A 14,679-nucleotide genomic window follows, 5' to 3' on the forward strand; every position below is an offset into this window, starting at 1 on the left:
CTTGCCCAAGGTCACACAGCCTCAGGTTTCTCAGGTGCGAAGTGGAGCTAATAGGACTTACCCCATAAGGCTGTTGCCAGGATTAAATGAGATGATGTTTGCTAAGCTCAATGCCTGGCATATAGAATGCTCTCAATAAAGGACAGTTTTTGGCACTGTCAAGTGGCTACAATTTTAAGGTCAGTGTTGTTACTGAATAATGAATGGATGATTGCAGGTTAGAGTGGAGACAGGAGGTCCCTCAGGAAGGTTCTAGCTCATCAGAAGCCCAGCTGTAGGGCTCGAGGGGAGAGTTGGTGATGGCTTGGACCTGAATTCTGGCTATAGGGGTAGAGGTGAGGGGGCAGATTGCAGAGAGATTTAAGAGCCAGACCTGGCAGGAGGGGGTGACCTGGCAGGAGGGGGTGACTGGTCATAGGGGCTAACTGAGACATCCAGGACGACTTCTAGTTTCTGTCTTGAACAACGGGGTACATAGATGGTGGAGTGTCATGGAGAAGTTGAGACTAGGGAGAGTCAGGTGGAAAGTGGTGAATTTGGTTTGGGAACCTCAAACCCAGCATGCACTATGACAGCGCACGCTGCATCTGGGGAGGCAGCAAGCAGGCAGTTGGATACAGAGGCCTGGTGCTCAGAAGAGTGGCTTGGGTGGAGGAGAGATAAGGAAGCTGGCAACATTTAGATGGCATTGAGCTGCGGGATCTGTGCACAGCCCAAGGGCGGGGAGGATAAGGCCCATTCGGGGATGGGAGGAAAGAAGGGGCCTCTGTGGGAAAGTAAGATATGCAGCCAGAGAGGTAGATAGAAAACCAGCGTATTGTCTCTTGAAATTCAGGGGAAGGAAGGGCTTAAAGAAGAGGAGGGGAACCACGAAGTCCAAAGCTTTGCTGAGATCAAGCAGGATAAGGATAAAACATGGGCACTGGGTTCAGCAACAGGGAGGTCACTGGTGACCTTGTCCAGTGGTGGGTACAGAAACTGGACCAGGGTGGGAAGAGGAGCAGGCGGGTGTAGTGAGAAAATGCAGGTAGACATCTCTTCAAGACACTTGGCTTTGAAAGGAGAGGAGAAAGATGGAGTAAGAAATGGGGTAGCTGGACAAAGACAGAAGGTCCACAAGCAGTCTTTTTTTTTTTTTTTTTTCTGAGATGGAGTTTTGCTCTTGTCGCCCAGGCTGGAGTGCAATGGTGCAATCTTGGCTCACTGCAACCTCCACCTCCCGGGTTCAAGCGATTCTCCTGCCTCAGTCTTCTGAGCAATTGGGATTACAGTCATGCGCCACCACGCCCGGCTAATTTTTTTTTTTTTTTTTTTTTTTTTAGTAGAGACGGGGTTTCACCAAGTTGGTCAGGCTGGTCTCGAACTCCTTACTTCAGGTGATCCACCTGCCTCGGCCTCCCAAAGTACTAGGATTACAGGCATGAGCTGCTGCACTGGGCTGAGTCATTTCTTTTTTGTAATTTTTTTTTTTTAAGAAAGAATCTTGCTCTATCACCTAGGCTGTAGTGCAGCGCGACCTCAGCTCACTGCCTCCTGGGTTGAGCAATTCTCATGCCTCAGCCTCCCGAGTAGGTGGGACTACAGGCCATGCCACCACACCTGGCTAATTTTTGTATTTTTAATAGAGTCAGGGTTTCACCATGTTGGCCAGGCTGGTCTCAAACTCCTAGCCTCAGTGATCCACCTGCCTCAGCCTCCCAAAGTGCTAGGATTACAGGCGTAAGCCACCGCACCGGCCCAACATTTTGTAATTATTTACAACCAATTTTACATTGAAATATAATAGGCACACAAAAAGTGTGTATGTCCTAAGTGTACAACTCTGTACATTTTCATAAGAGAACACACTCATATAGAATCAGGAAATTTAACCCAGAGCAGGAAATAGGACATTACCAGCACCCTGGAAGACCCTTGTGGCCTCTTCAGTCACAACACCTGGAGGGAGACTCCCAGGCTGACTTCTATCACCATAGATTAGTTTTGCTTGCTTTTGAACTTATTATCAAGGTCATACATTTGTCCTCTCTTGGGTTTGCTCTCAGATCCACCCATATTGTTGCATGTCACTGTATATTTTTCATTCTTTTTGCTATGTGGTAATTCCATTATTCATTGACAGGCATCTGGACAGTTTCTAGGGTTTTCTTTTTTTCTTTTTTTTTTTTTTTTTTTTTTTTTGAGACAGACTCCCGCTCTGTCACCCAGCCTGGAGTGCAGTGGCATGATAGCAGCTCTCTGCAGCCTCTGCGTCCCAGGTTCAAGCGATCCTCCTGCCTCAGCCGCCCAGGTAGCTGGCACTACAGGCGTGCACGACCAAGCCCAGCTAATTTTTGTATTTTTAGCAGAGATGGGGTTTCACCATGTTGGCCAAGCTGGTCTCGAACTCCTGACCTCAAGTGATCCACCCACCTCTGCCTCCCAAAGTGTTGGGATTATAGGCATGAACCACCACACCCAGCCCGTTTTTATTTTTCATGTGGGAGTGACTTGAGCTTGTCTGAGACTTGTGGAGAAAGTCTGAAACACCCCAAAAGGAGAAAGATGACTAGGGTCACACTTGAGGATTTGCCAGGTGGGCAGTGAGGGCCTGGCCAAGGTTGAGGATTGCTCTGTGATTCCAGCCAGGCTGCTGTGCCAAGACCTCTGGCAACTCCTGCCAACCTGTGTGCAGGTGTAGAGAAGTCCAGGAGTTGGATTCCCCAGGGCTGGTTTCTGCCAGCTGGGAGAGAGGTGCGCAGTGCTGAGGATACTTGCAGCAGGCAAGTGATGGGATGGTGGCTGTGGATCCAGGCTGGGGAGGAGGCTGTGCAGGGAAGGTACAGAAGAGAAGGTAGGAGGGAGCTAGCAGAAAAAAAGAAAGCAGAGGCGGACTGTGAGCTCTGCACAGGGTGGTGTCTGTGAAATTCTGGGCTGTATCTCCAGTGACTGGCACATGCTTGGCACAAGGTTGCCACTCAGTGAATAGGTGAATAAATGGGTGAGGGCTCAAGGGGCCAGAGGTCTCAGGTAAAAGGCAGGTGAGGTGGGGGTGATGGAAAGCCTGAGGGTTGCATCAGTGTGGTTGTGGTTTAGGAGGGGGGCATTCCAAAGGCAGGTGATAAGGCTGGGGATGGCTGAAGGGACCAGAGAGGCCAGCGATAGGCAGGCAATCCATGGGAATGCACAGGTCACCAGTGTAGGGTGCAGGGTACCCAGGCTTCGCCTTCAAGGAGGAGGGGAGAATAACATATCTCAAACTGAGGTCCCTGGACCTCTTGCATCTGAATCTGTCGGGGGGAGGGGGAACTTGTGGAAATGCAGACCCCTGGGCCCAACCCAGCCTTTTGGGGAGAAAGTAAGCACAGTATGGGAGAACTGAGCCTCAAGGAGCAAGAGTGTTTATGGGATGGGGGAGCATCCAGCCCCTCCAAGGTCAAGGGAGGGATGGGCATGGTGGCATCTATCCAGGCTAGAGGTGGACATGGGATATTCAAAGAAGAGATAGGCTGGGCGCGGTGGCTCATGCCTGTAATCCCAGCACTTTGGGAGAATGAGGCAGGCTGATCACTTGAGGTCAGGGGTTCAAGACCAGCCTGGCCAACATGGTGAAACCCCGTCTCTATTAAAAATACAAACATTAGCCAGGCATAGTGGCGGGTGTTTGTAATACCAGCTATTTGGGAGCCTGAGGCAGGAGAATCGCTTGAATCTGAGAGGCAGAGGTTGCAGTGAGCCAAGATCGTGCCACTGCACTACAGCTTGGGAGACACAGAAAAAAAAAGAGAGGTACTGGGGATGGGGATCAGGATGGGAACGCAGAACCTGAGAGGCCCATGTGAGCTGGGGGCAGGAAGGATGGGGCATTAGCCTAGGATGCAGCTTGACTAGGGAGGAGGCCCTGGCTGGCAGCCAGACCTGATCCTTTCCCCTGGGTCCTGGGAAGAGGGGAGTGCTCAGGCTGAGCACTCCCTCTGTGGGAGTAGGGATGGGGTGGTGCATGGGGCTGTGGGACTCTGCATCCAGTTCCTTCTCTGCATCTCTCTTGGCGCAGCAGCACACACTATGGGGTGGATCTAGCCTCACACTTTCAGCCTCTCTTCTCAGCCTCAGTCCCCTGGTGATCAGTGCCCTAACTCTCCGCCCTCCATTGGCACAGCCCCTCCAATCAGCACCCTTAGCCCATCTTTCCACTCTTCAGCCCCCTACTATCCACCTTCTCACACTTAGAACCCCAGCTCTCAGCCCTCTGTGTGTTCAGCCTTAGCACTGCTCAACAGCCACTCTTTTTTGGGGGAGACGGAGTCTCGCTCTGTCGCCCAGGCTGGAGTGCAGTGGCGCCACCTCCCGGGTTCAAGCGATTCTCCTGTCTCAGCCTCCTGAGTAGCTGGGATTACAGGCGCGCGTCACCATGTCCGGCTAATTTTTGTATTTTTAGTAGAGACGGGGTTTCACCTTGTTGGTCAGGCTGATCTCGAATTCCTGACCTCGTGATCCGCCCGCCTCGGCCTCCCAAAGTGCTGAGATTACAGGCGTGAGCCACTGTGCCCGGCCTCAATAGCGACTCTTTAAGCCCCCTACTCTAATGTCTGATACTTCCTCCACTTAGCGTCTCCATTCTATCCCTTCATATTCATCCCCATGCTCAAATCCCTTTACGCACATTGCTGACCCCAGCTGAGCAGACCCCTCGCCCCCCGTCGGTCCCCTCCCCGAGGGGAACCCCAGTCACCGGTCCCGCCCCATCCAGGCGGGCTGAGTCAGGCGGCAGGAACTGGGCGGGGGGCGGCGCCGGGAGGAGCCGAAGCCGAGCCAGAGCCGCTGGGAGCGAGCCCGGAGCCCAGCCGGGCGGCTCGAAGTGGCCAGGGCCGGAAGGTCCGCGGGGGGCGAGCGCGGGTCGGGGGCCGTCCCGGACCCACCATGAACACCAAGAAGAGAGGTAGGACCCAGCTCGGGGCTGCGAAAGCTCAGGGACTGGCCCCAGGGGAAGCAGGCCGGGTTTGGGGGCCAGGAGTGTGTGTTTCGCCGAAGCGGGGTGGGGGTCTGCCGAGGAGCTCTCCCCGCCGATGCCGGGGTGGAGGCGCACGTCCGTGACTCAGTTTCCAGGTGGGAGCCTCAGGAAAGAGGAGGGGGCGGGGCCCTTCTCGGCATCGCGCCCAGCTCTGGGAATCCCCCTGCCTGGAGGGCGCCGGGACGCCCGGGCCGGTGGGGGCTGGGGGCAGCAGGTCACGCTGGCAGGCGGGGGGCGGGCGACAAACCCGCACCGGCTGGGCCTGTCGGGCAGCTCCGCAGGGCTCCGAGCGTGGCCCCGCCCCGCCCCGTGACCTCCTTGGGCTCCCGGGGTGGGGGGCCCCGAGCTCCGGGTGCCCTGGGGGGGGAAATCGGGGGCAGGGCTGGGGAGGCTGCCCCGCCCCCGGGTAAACAGGCGCTTCCGCACATTCTTCGCGCGCGCCGCCCCTTTCCTGCCCCTTCCCAGCCGGAGGAGGGTCCCCGCGCGACCCCCCTTCCTGCCCCGCGGCAGGCGGAGCCCGCACCTCGGCAGGAAGTGGGGGCCGAGCCGAGGCCACGCTGAGTCCGAGGCCGAGTCGCCTGCGGCTGTCCTGTCATTAGTGCCCGGGTCGGCGGGACTAGGCGGACCCGGCCGGAGCCCGCTGGGGCAGCTGTGCCTAGCGACAGGAAAGACCTGCGCCAGCCCTGGATCCCGCTGCGTGGGAGAGGGCTTCGGGGATCCGACTGGTACTGGACACCCCCCCGATCACCCGCAGGGAGCCCCGCGCGGACTCACTCTATGATGTCCCTGTCGGTGCGGCCGCAGCGCCGTCTGCTCAGCGCCCGGGTCAATAGGAGCCAGTCCTTCGCAGGCGTCCTCGGCAGCCACGAGCGGGGGCCCAGGTACGCGGCCGCGCAGGGTTGGTGGGGTCAAAGGGCGTCAGATGGGGCTGGGTCTGGGGGTGCGTAGTGAGAGTCTGGGGGACTCCTGCTCTCCTCTTTCTGAGGACAGCCTCTCCTTCAGGAGTTTCCCGGTCTTCAGCCCGCCGGGGCCCCCACGGAAGCCCCCCGCGCTCTCCCGAGTGTCCAGGATGTTTTCCGTGGCTCACCCAGCCGCCAAGGTGCCGCAGCCCGAGCGGCTGGACCTGGTGTACACGGCGCTGAAGCGGGGCCTGACGTGAGCAGCTCCTCTGTTCCCAGCCCTGTCCCGGGATCCCTCCCCAAGCCCGCATCCTGCTAGCAGGAACCTTCTCCAGCCCCATGCCCTCTCCCTGCTGTCTGCACCCTGGGCAGCATGAGGCTGGAGAGCCGAGTTCATTCTTGTGGTCGCCCCTTTCCTCAGGGCCTACTTGGAAGTGCACCAGCAGGAGCAAGAGAAACTCCAGGGGCAGATAAGGGAGTCCAAGAGGAATTCCCGCTTGGTGAGTGGCGGGAGGTACGGATGCCCTTTGCCTCTTTGGTGTGGAGGGCTGGGCAAGGGCAGCCCTGGGTGATATCTGGGCTATTTTCTGAAGTGATCTGGTTCAGGTGTGAGTAGAAAAGGGGATATCAGGAAAGGCTGAGGGGCTTTTCTATCCCCAAACTTTGCTGTGCATACTTTCTGCTTGGGACTCAGTACCTGCTCCAGGAGCTTCCAGTGGGGTAGGTGGGACCCCTACAGACATGGACAGCAGGAGATTCTGCTGCAGTGGTACTGAGCAGTGGTACTGCTGCATGGTGCTTCTTGGGAAGAGGTTAGGGCTTCCTGGAGGAGGGAACACTTCTGCCGGGGCTTGATGGGAGTTCCCCTGCAGAGGGAACCTTGCACAAGGAAGCAGAGAGCTCTCCCCAGGCGGCTGCAGGAAAAGGAATCCCAGGGAAGAGGTGGAAGGAGGGGTCCTGGAGGGGGCTGAAGGGACCAGATCTGTGCTACCAGCATCCACCAAGGGCTAGACCAGCAGGAAGGGGCGTCAGTTGCTACTGTGACAGGAGTGCTTGTGGACTGTGGTGTGAGAAAGGGGAGCTGTGACGAGTCTGAGTGCCTCTGCTGGAGTCCTCCTCATCCCTCCTAAATATTTGCCCCTTCTCCCCACCCCTGCAGGGCTTCCTGTATGATCTGGACAAGGTGAGTATGCATGGAATGGTACTGGAAGGGGTTGGCTCACAGGGAGGGTAAGGACCCTGGGCCTCAGGCCCCTCCTGACCCACCTCTCCCCCAGCAAGTCAAGTCCATTGAACGCTTCCTGCGACGACTGGAGTTCCATGCCAGCAAGGTACGAGTGCAGCATGTGTGCAGAGTGGGGTGGGGGGTTGGATATCATAGGGAGAAGAGGGGTGGTGCCAGGCCCTGGGTGAGCAACCTTAGAGGTGAGTAACCCCAGAGGTGAGTCTCAGTCCCCCTACTGTCACCCCACTCACCTTCCCAGATCGATGAGCTGTATGAGGCATACTGTGTCCAGCGGCGTCTCCGGGATGGTGCCTACAACATGGTCCGTGCCTACACCACTGGGTCCCCGGGAAGCCGAGAGGCCCGGGACAGCCTGGCAGAGGCCACTCGGGGGCATCGCGAGTACACGGAGGTGAGGGATGGGGGCCCATGAGGCAGAGGCACAGGGTGTGGCAGGGCTAGTGGCTGGCCCTTGACCCCCTCCTGTCCCTGCCCCTCCCTCCCAGAGCATGTGTCTGCTGGAGAGCGAGCTGGAGGCACAGCTGGGCGAGTTTCATCTCCGAATGAAAGGTACTGAGTTGTGGGGGCAGGTGGGGGGCTGGAGGGAGTATGCTGAAGAACCCCAATATGGCTCACCGACTTCTCCCCTTCTCCTCCAACTCAGGGCTGGCTGGCTTCGCCAGGCTGTGTGTAGGCGATCAGTATGAGGTATGAGAATGTGCAGGGAAGGGCTGGGTCGGTAGGGTCCCAACACCTAGGCTGCCTCATCCTACCTGTTCCCCCAGATCTGCATGAAATATGGGCGTCAGCGCTGGAAACTACGGGGCCGAATTGAGGGTAGTGGAAAGCAGGTGTGGGACAGTGAAGAAACCATCTTTCTCCCTCTACTCACGGAATTTCTGTCTATTAAGGTGATGTCTCTGCCCAGGACGGCAGGCCACCATGGCCCTGTGAACCCCTTGTGACCCCCATTACCCTGAGTCCCTTACTCCTGTGATCCCCTCATAGCTCCATAGCCCTGTGAAGATATGATTCCATGACCTTCATGATCTCTGTGGCCCTGAGAGGAACAATCTTTGTGACTCTTAGGACATCATGGCTTCCTGACCCTGTGACCTCCTCATGATCTTCTGACCCTGTGAATATTTGACCTCCTAAGCTCCCATGAGGCTGTGACCTCTATGACCTCAGTGACCCTACCATGCAGACCTCTGTGATTCCCATGCTCCCAGGCTGCTTCAAGCATCCATGGCTCCATGAGCATGCATGTGTCTGTCTATCTATCTAGGAGTTGGCGGGTCTCACTCTGTCACCCAGGTTGGAGTGCAGCAGTGCAATCATACCTCACTGCAGTCTCAAACTCCTGGGCTCAACCCATCCTCCCACTTCAGCCTCCCAAGTAGCTGGGACTACAGGTGCACCACCATGCCTGGCTAAAAATTTTTTTTTTTTTTTTTTTTGAGACAGAGTCTTGCCATGTTGCCCAAGCTGGTCTTGAACTCCTGGCCTTAAGTGATCCTCCTGCCTCAGCCTCCCATGACCATTTTATAAGTTCTATGCAAATTCAGACCTCAGATTTCCCATGATCTCATAGCCCCTGCACCCTTGTGACCCTACCATGCACTCTTGGCTACAGGTGACAGAACTGAAGGGCCTGGCCAACCATGTGGTTGTGGGCAGTGTCTCCTGTGAGACCAAGGACCTGTTTGCCGCCCTGCCCCAGGTTGTGGCTGTGGATATCAATGACCTTGGTACCATCAAGCTCAGCCTGGAAGTCACATGGAGGTTGGTGGGGCTGAGAGGCTTGGAGGAGGGCCAGGAGGGCTGTGGCACCTGCCAACAGCCTCTTCCCTTCCCAGCCCCTTCGACAAGGATGACCAGCCCTCAGCTGCTTCTTCTGTCAACAAGGCCTCCACAGTCACCAAGCGCTTCTCCACCTATAGCCAGAGCCCACCGGACACACCCTCACTTCGGGAACAGGCTTTCTATGTGAGTCATAGCCCAGGTCCAGGCCTCACCATCCCCCAGAGGCTCCCTGGGGGTGGTTCTGAAATGCCCTCTCCTCTTTCTCAGAACATGCTGCGACGGCAGGAGGAGCTGGAGAATGGGACAGCATGGTCCCTGTCATCTGAATCTTCAGACGACTCATCCAGCCCACAGCTCTCAGGCACTGCCCGCCACTCACCAGCCCCTAGGCCCCTGGTGCAGCAGCCCGAGCCCCTTCCCATCCAAGTTGCCTTCCGCAGGCCTGAGACCCCCAGCTCTGGGCCCTTGGATGAGGAGGGGGCCGTGGCCCCAGTCCTGGCAAATGGGCATGCACCCTACAGTCGGACTCTGAGCCACATCAGTGAGGCTAGTGTAGATGCTGCCTTGGCTGAGGCTTCAGTGGAGGCCGTTGGCCCAGAAAGCCTAGCCTGGGGACCTAGCCCACCTACACACCCAGCTCCCACCCATGGAGAGCACCCCAGTCCTGTTCCTCCTGCCCTGGACCCTGGCCACTCTGCCACAAGCTCTACCCTCGGTACAACAGGCTCTGTCCCCACATCTACAGACCCTGCCCCATCTGCACACCTAGACTCAGTTCATAAGTCCACAGACTCTGGCCCTTCAGAACTGCCAGGCCCCACTCACACCACTACAGGCTCTACCTATAGTGCCATTACCACTACCCACAGTGCTCCAAGCCCCCTCACTCACACTACTACAGGCTCCACCCACAAGCCCATAATCTCTACCCTTACTACTACAGGCCCTACCCTCAATATCATAGGCCCAGTCCAGACTACCACAAGCCCCACCCACACTATGCCAAGCCCTACCCATACCACAGCAAGCCCCACTCATACTTCCACAAGCCCCACCCATACCCCCACAAGTCCCACCCACAAAACCAGTATGTCACCTCCCACCACTACAAGTCCTACCCCCAGTGGTATGGGCCTAGTCCAGACTGCCACAAGTCCCACCCATCCTACCACAAGCCCCACCCATCCCACCACAAGCCCCATCCTTATAAATGTAAGCCCTTCCACTTCTCTAGAACTTGCTACCCTCTCCAGCCCCTCCAAACACTCAGACCCCACCCTCCCAGGCACTGACTCCCTTCCCTGTAGTCCCCCAGTCTCCAATTCCTACACTCAGGCAGACCCTATGGCCCCCAGAACTCCCCACCCAAGTCCTGCCCATTCCAGTAGGAAACCCCTCACAAGCCCTGCCCCAGATCCCTCAGAGTCTACGGTTCAGAGTCTAAGCCCCACTCCCTCACCCCCAACCCCTGCACCCCAGCATTCAGACCTTTGCCTGGCCATGGCTGTCCAGACCCCAGTCCCAACGGCAGCCGGAGGGTCTGGGGACAGGAGCCTGGAGGAGGCACTGGGGGCCCTAATGGCTGCCCTGGATGACTACCGTGGCCAGTTTCCTGAGCTGCAGGGCCTGGAGCAGGAGGTGACCCGCCTAGAAAGTCTGCTCATGGTGAGGAGGGCTGGGCTGGGCTAGGGCAACCAGGGAGGGCAGCCAGGGGGCGGCAGCCGCTCTGATGCCCTTCACAACCTCAGCAGAGACAAGGTCTGACTCGCAGCCGGGCCTCCAGTCTCAGCATCACTGTGGAGCATGCCTTGGAGAGCTTCAGCTTCCTCAATGAAGACGAAGATGAAGACAATGATGTTCCTGGGGACAGGTGAGGGGGCTAGGCAAGATGGGTGTGAGGCTAGGTGAGAGGGAAAAGGTGAGGCAGGACCAGGGGAAGGTGGAACAGGTGAATTGGGAGAAAGTCAAAGGACAGGACAGGTGAGGCAGGGCCAGGTGGAGCATGTGAGGACTGAGTTGCTGGCAGGTGCACCTGTGTCCACCCCTCCCATGTCCTTCATGCCCATGTCTCCAACCCTACGTGTGTCCCCAGTGCTTCTGACCGCCCTCTTCATCTCTGCAATGTCTGCCTCCCCTGCCGGTCCCCATCAGCTTGGGTGCCTCCAGCCCCTCCTCTTCCCCTTGGCCTCACCTTGGACCTGCCCTTTAAGGAGCTCTCTCAGTGTCTCGCCGTGCACCCTGGGACCCCAGCACTGCCCCACTCCTTCTCAACCCCGACTCTCCCAGAGGCCCTGGCCCCTCAACTGTCAGTCCTGGAGTGGCCTTTGCTGGTTCCCAGTTGAGAGTTGTGCCAGGTCCCTCCTTCCTCTGCTGCTGCCCAGGCTACAGCCCCATGCCCTGCACCCTTTGCAGTCCACTTGTCATAAACCATCCCGCCTGCAGCCTACTCCTACCCATGCCATCCCCAGTGGTCCCAGCTGGAGGTAGCATGGCGCAGACTGACTCCAGAGATCCCTACTACCACCTGCTGGTCCCAGCCCCTTCCTCCTTCTGGAAATCCTCCATGAACTTACCCCACTGTCTGCTGTCGGTGCATCATCTTCTTCCTTTCTGGCATGGGGGAAGCTTAATAAAAATAAACGCTGGTGACCAGGTGGTGATGTGTGCCTGTGGGGTGGTGGACCCCATTTTTCCCTCAGGCCTCCAAGCAGCCCGGAGGCTGGGGCTGAGGACAGCATAGACTCACCCAGTGCCCGCCCCCTCAGCACGGGGTGTCCAGCTCTGGATGCTGCCTTGGTCCGGCACCTGTACCACTGCAGTCGCCTCCTGCTGGTGAGGCTGATGGTGTTCCCCCACCCTTCCTTTGTAACCCCTAACCCCAGGGAGTCCTGCCCTTCCATCCTGGTCCTCTATACCTCCTCTGAGTGCCACACCCCAGTGCCCCAGGGCCCTTGGCATCTGGCCCTTGCTGAATGGAGTATCTCCCAACTCTGCAACCCCAACCTCCCCCAGTGCATGCTGGGACTTGTCCCTGAGCACGATCCTCCCGAGCCCTACCCTGAGGCCTGAGCTACTTGGCCACCCATGTTCTCCAGAAACTGGGCACATTTGGGCCCCTGCGCTGCCAGGAGGCATGGGCCCTGGAGCGGCTGCTGCGGGAAGCCCGAGTACTGGAGGCAGTATGCGAGTTCAGCAGGCGGTGGGAGATCCCGGCCAGCTCTGCCCAGGAAGGTAAAGGCCCTGGGGGTTCGGGCTCTGCCATCTGCCTTGAAGCTCCTACCTCAGCCTACTGCCATCTGCATGCTCTCTACTCACCTGCCTGCCTGTTGCTGACGGTTTCCCTCACCCCCTCACAGTGGTGCAGTTCTCGGCCTCTCGGCCTGGCTTCCTGACCTTCTGGGACCAGTGCACAGAGAGACTCAGCTGCTTCCTCTGCCCGGTGGAGCGGGTGCTTCTCACCTTCTGCAACCAGTATGGTGCCCGCCTCTCCCTGCGCCAGCCAGGCTTGGCTGAGGCTGGTGAGTGGGCTGCTTCCTCCTTCCACCCTTGCTCAGATTCCCAGTGACAGGAAGCTCGGGGAAGCCAGGTCAGCCCACACAGATAAACGAACTGGGCACCGAGGAGACCAGCAAAGACTTGGGCCTTAGAGCAGAAGGACCCAGATGGGTGGGGTTTGAACAGGGGGCCCCTGGACCTGAGCCTGGGATAGGAGCATCTCTCCCCTCTAAAAGCTGTGTTCACCCAAACTCTGAGGCCCATGCTACTGCCTCCTGCAGTGTGTGTGAAGTTCCTGGAGGATGCCCTGGGGCAGAAGCTGCCCAGAAGGCCCCAGCCAGGGCCTGGAGAGCAGCTCACAGTCTTCCAGTTCTGGAGTTTTGTGGAAACCTTGGACAGCCCCACCATGGAGGCCTACGTGACTGAGACCGCTGAGGAGGGTGAGGCGGTGGCCCTGATCACATAGTGGCCTCTTGGGGTCTGAGGACATGAGGACAAGCCCTCCCCAACCTCGGGGGCTCCTCACCCTGCCACCTTGCCCACCCACCCACCATATCCCCTTTTTTCAGTGCTACTGGTGCGGAATCTGAACTCGGATGATCAGGCTGTTGTGCTGAAGGCCCTGAGATTGGCGCCCGAGGGGCGTCTGCGAAGGGACGGGCTGCGGGCCCTCAGCTCCCTGCTCGTCCATGGCAACAACAAGGTCATGGCTGCTGTCAGCACCCAGCTCCGGAGCCTGTCACTGGGCCCTACCTTCCGGGAGAGGGTGAGTTGGACAGGGCTCCCTTGAGGGCGAGGGCTGGGGTCCTGGACTCCCACTGTCTGGCTAAGTCTGTCCTCCCACCCTTCCACAGGCCCTCCTGTGCTTCCTGGACCAGCTGGAGGATGAGGACGTGCAGACTCGAGTGGCTGGCTGCCTGGCCCTAGGCTGCATCAAGGTGACCCCTGCCAACCCTCCCACCCCTCTGTCCGCTTCCGGCACCCCCACCCCTGAAACCCTCCCATCTGCTCCCCTGAGCCCACCTCAATGCTCCCTCCCCTGACAGGCTCCCGAGGGCATTGAGCCCCTGGTGTACCTCTGCCAAACTGACACAGAAGCTGTGAGGGAAGCTGCCCGGCAAAGCCTACAGCAGTGTGGTGAGGCTGGGGGATGGAAGAGATGGGTGGAGTTCTGGGACATCTTGGCTGATGGGAGTAGGAGAGATGGCGCCAGGGGTGGGAGAGTGGGATGGGGCTAGGGCCACCCTTGACCTCATCCTCACTCATTACAGGAGAAGAGGGACAGTCTGCCCATCGACGGCTGGAGGAGTCCCTGGACGCCCTGCCCCGCATCTTTGGGCCTGGCAGCATGGCCAGCACAGCATTCTAAACTATTCACCCATGGGTTCCTGGTGCCCCTTTCCCCCCACTTTCAGGGCTCACCAGGCACTGGCAGGGAGGGTAAGGGCTGGCTCCAGATACCCCTCCCCCACAGATTCCTAGCAATGAAAATCTAATATATTCTTCTGTTGCCCCTGGGGTTGGAGAGTCAGTGCCTGCAGTCAAGTGCCTCCCAGCCTCGGCTCAGCACATCCCTTGCCACAAATCAGTGTCTGGGGCTTGGCCACCCTGCCGCTGCCCAGCCACATCCCTTGGTTTTGTATTTTATTTACAGAGTTTTACAGAAAATAAAAAAGCAAAATGTCTTTCCTACATGGCCTGGTACACTCCTGACCCTCTGCTCCAACACCCTCTGGCTGTGGCCCTGCCTGACACTGGTGTGTTCACACTGCAGCTGTGACAGTGCCATGTGCACTTGCCCTGGAAATTCAGGTGGAAGAAAGCCCAGAGGCTGGAACTGGGCTTGGAGAAGAGAGCAGGGGAAAAGGGTGGTTCAGCCTGCAGGTGGGGCCTACCCTGGGCCTGGGAACTACGGCCCAAGGTGGAGCTAAACTGGAGTTGGCCCAGAAAACACCAAAGGGTGCCAATCCCAGGCTGTGGCCTGGGAGCAAAGGGGAAGGGAAAGGAAAAACAGGAAGGGAAAGGAGGCACGGGGTGGCTGGAGCTTCTGCCCACCAGGGGGCAGCAGATCCGCGTCAGCAGATGCCAGGTTTGGGTCTTCTGCAGCCTGGGCAGCTTTCTGCAGAGGGGGCTGAAGGAGCTCCTTGAAGCTGGATGGCAGGGGAGAGGAGCTCCTTGCGGAGGGGAAGAGCTGGGACCTGGGAGGCAGGAGACCTGGATGGCTAACCTGTGACCCAAGACAGCAAGTCCCTTCCCTCTCCAGC

At 58.2% G+C, this 14,679-nt stretch overlaps 1 protein-coding gene across 23 annotated transcripts in view, besides 10 other annotated features; it reads left to right on the forward strand.

Moving 5' to 3' along the window:
• Positions 1-14,107, forward strand: part of RIPOR1 (RHO family interacting cell polarization regulator 1) — a 28,418-nt gene extending 14,311 nt beyond the window's left edge. For 5 of the 23 annotated variants that reach the window (XM_047434628.1, XM_047434627.1, XM_047434626.1 and 2 more), the window contains exons 2-22: positions 5,745-5,871; positions 5,981-6,145; positions 6,311-6,389; positions 7,049-7,072; positions 7,167-7,220; positions 7,374-7,526; positions 7,621-7,684; positions 7,779-7,822; positions 7,873-8,025; positions 8,751-8,899; positions 8,974-9,103; positions 9,188-10,585; positions 10,669-10,790; positions 11,620-11,752; positions 12,016-12,151; positions 12,277-12,438; positions 12,697-12,855; positions 12,985-13,181; positions 13,270-13,353; positions 13,462-13,552; positions 13,687-14,107. In XM_047434628.1, the coding sequence (XP_047290584.1) occupies positions 5,768-5,871; positions 5,981-6,145; positions 6,311-6,389; positions 7,049-7,072; positions 7,167-7,220; positions 7,374-7,526; positions 7,621-7,684; positions 7,779-7,822; positions 7,873-8,025; positions 8,751-8,899; positions 8,974-9,103; positions 9,188-10,585; positions 10,669-10,790; positions 11,620-11,752; positions 12,016-12,151; positions 12,277-12,438; positions 12,697-12,855; positions 12,985-13,181; positions 13,270-13,353; positions 13,462-13,552; positions 13,687-13,784 (3,699 nt within the window). In that variant the 5' untranslated portion in view covers positions 5,745-5,767 and the 3' untranslated portion in view covers positions 13,785-14,107. Of the gene's footprint in view, positions 1-4,782; positions 4,919-5,744; positions 5,872-5,980; positions 6,146-6,310; positions 6,390-7,048; positions 7,073-7,166; positions 7,221-7,373; positions 7,527-7,620; positions 7,685-7,778; positions 7,823-7,872; positions 8,026-8,750; positions 8,900-8,973; positions 9,104-9,187; positions 10,586-10,668; positions 10,791-11,619; positions 11,753-12,015; positions 12,152-12,276; positions 12,439-12,696; positions 12,856-12,984; positions 13,182-13,269; positions 13,354-13,461; positions 13,553-13,686 lie in introns of those variants that run through there. The other 18 variants (XM_011523325.3, XM_011523321.2, XM_011523322.2 and 15 more) reach the window with 11 other exon arrangements.
• Positions 4,615-4,894: a silencer, noted in NCBI's record as "silent region_7611". NCBI's record gives its function as "represses an Ori minimal core promoter by ATAC-STARR-seq in GM12878 lymphoblastoid cells {active_cell/tissue: GM12878}" and the evidence as "EXISTENCE:reporter gene assay evidence [ECO:0000049][PMID:35858748]".
• Positions 5,115-5,624: a silencer, noted in NCBI's record as "silent region_7612". NCBI's record gives its function as "represses an Ori minimal core promoter by ATAC-STARR-seq in GM12878 lymphoblastoid cells {active_cell/tissue: GM12878}" and the evidence as "EXISTENCE:reporter gene assay evidence [ECO:0000049][PMID:35858748]".
• Positions 5,115-6,026: a biological region, named in NCBI's record as "H3K27ac-H3K4me1 hESC enhancer GRCh37_chr16:67571987-67572608".
• Positions 5,405-6,026: an enhancer, noted in NCBI's record as "H3K27ac-H3K4me1 hESC enhancer chr16:67571987-67572608 (GRCh37/hg19 assembly coordinates)". NCBI's record gives its function as "activates a minimal SCP1, AML or CMV promoter by ChIP-STARR-seq in primed H9 embryonic stem cells {active_cell/tissue: H9 hESC(primed)}" and the evidence as "EXISTENCE:reporter gene assay evidence [ECO:0000049][PMID:30033119]".
• Positions 5,775-5,844: an enhancer, noted in NCBI's record as "active region_10974". NCBI's record gives its function as "activates an Ori minimal core promoter by ATAC-STARR-seq in GM12878 lymphoblastoid cells {active_cell/tissue: GM12878}" and the evidence as "EXISTENCE:reporter gene assay evidence [ECO:0000049][PMID:35858748]".
• Positions 9,833-9,882: an enhancer, noted in NCBI's record as "active region_10975". NCBI's record gives its function as "activates an Ori minimal core promoter by ATAC-STARR-seq in GM12878 lymphoblastoid cells {active_cell/tissue: GM12878}" and the evidence as "EXISTENCE:reporter gene assay evidence [ECO:0000049][PMID:35858748]".
• Positions 10,073-10,122: a silencer, noted in NCBI's record as "silent region_7613". NCBI's record gives its function as "represses an Ori minimal core promoter by ATAC-STARR-seq in GM12878 lymphoblastoid cells {active_cell/tissue: GM12878}" and the evidence as "EXISTENCE:reporter gene assay evidence [ECO:0000049][PMID:35858748]".
• Positions 14,318-14,377: an enhancer, noted in NCBI's record as "active region_10976". NCBI's record gives its function as "activates an Ori minimal core promoter by ATAC-STARR-seq in GM12878 lymphoblastoid cells {active_cell/tissue: GM12878}" and the evidence as "EXISTENCE:reporter gene assay evidence [ECO:0000049][PMID:35858748]".
• Positions 14,318-14,621: a biological region, named in NCBI's record as "Sharpr-MPRA regulatory region 14438".
• Positions 14,327-14,621: a silencer, noted in NCBI's record as "tiled region #14438; HepG2 Repressive DNase unmatched - State 25:Art". NCBI's record gives its function as "represses a minimal TATA promoter and a strong SV40 promoter by Sharpr-MPRA in HepG2 cells {active_cell/tissue: HepG2}" and the evidence as "EXISTENCE:reporter gene assay evidence [ECO:0000049][PMID:27701403]".

The sequence above is a fragment of the Homo sapiens genome, chromosome 16, assembly GCF_000001405.40.
Source record: "Homo sapiens chromosome 16, GRCh38.p14 Primary Assembly".
In the NCBI taxonomy this organism is placed as follows: Eukaryota; Metazoa; Chordata; class Mammalia; order Primates; family Hominidae; genus Homo; species Homo sapiens.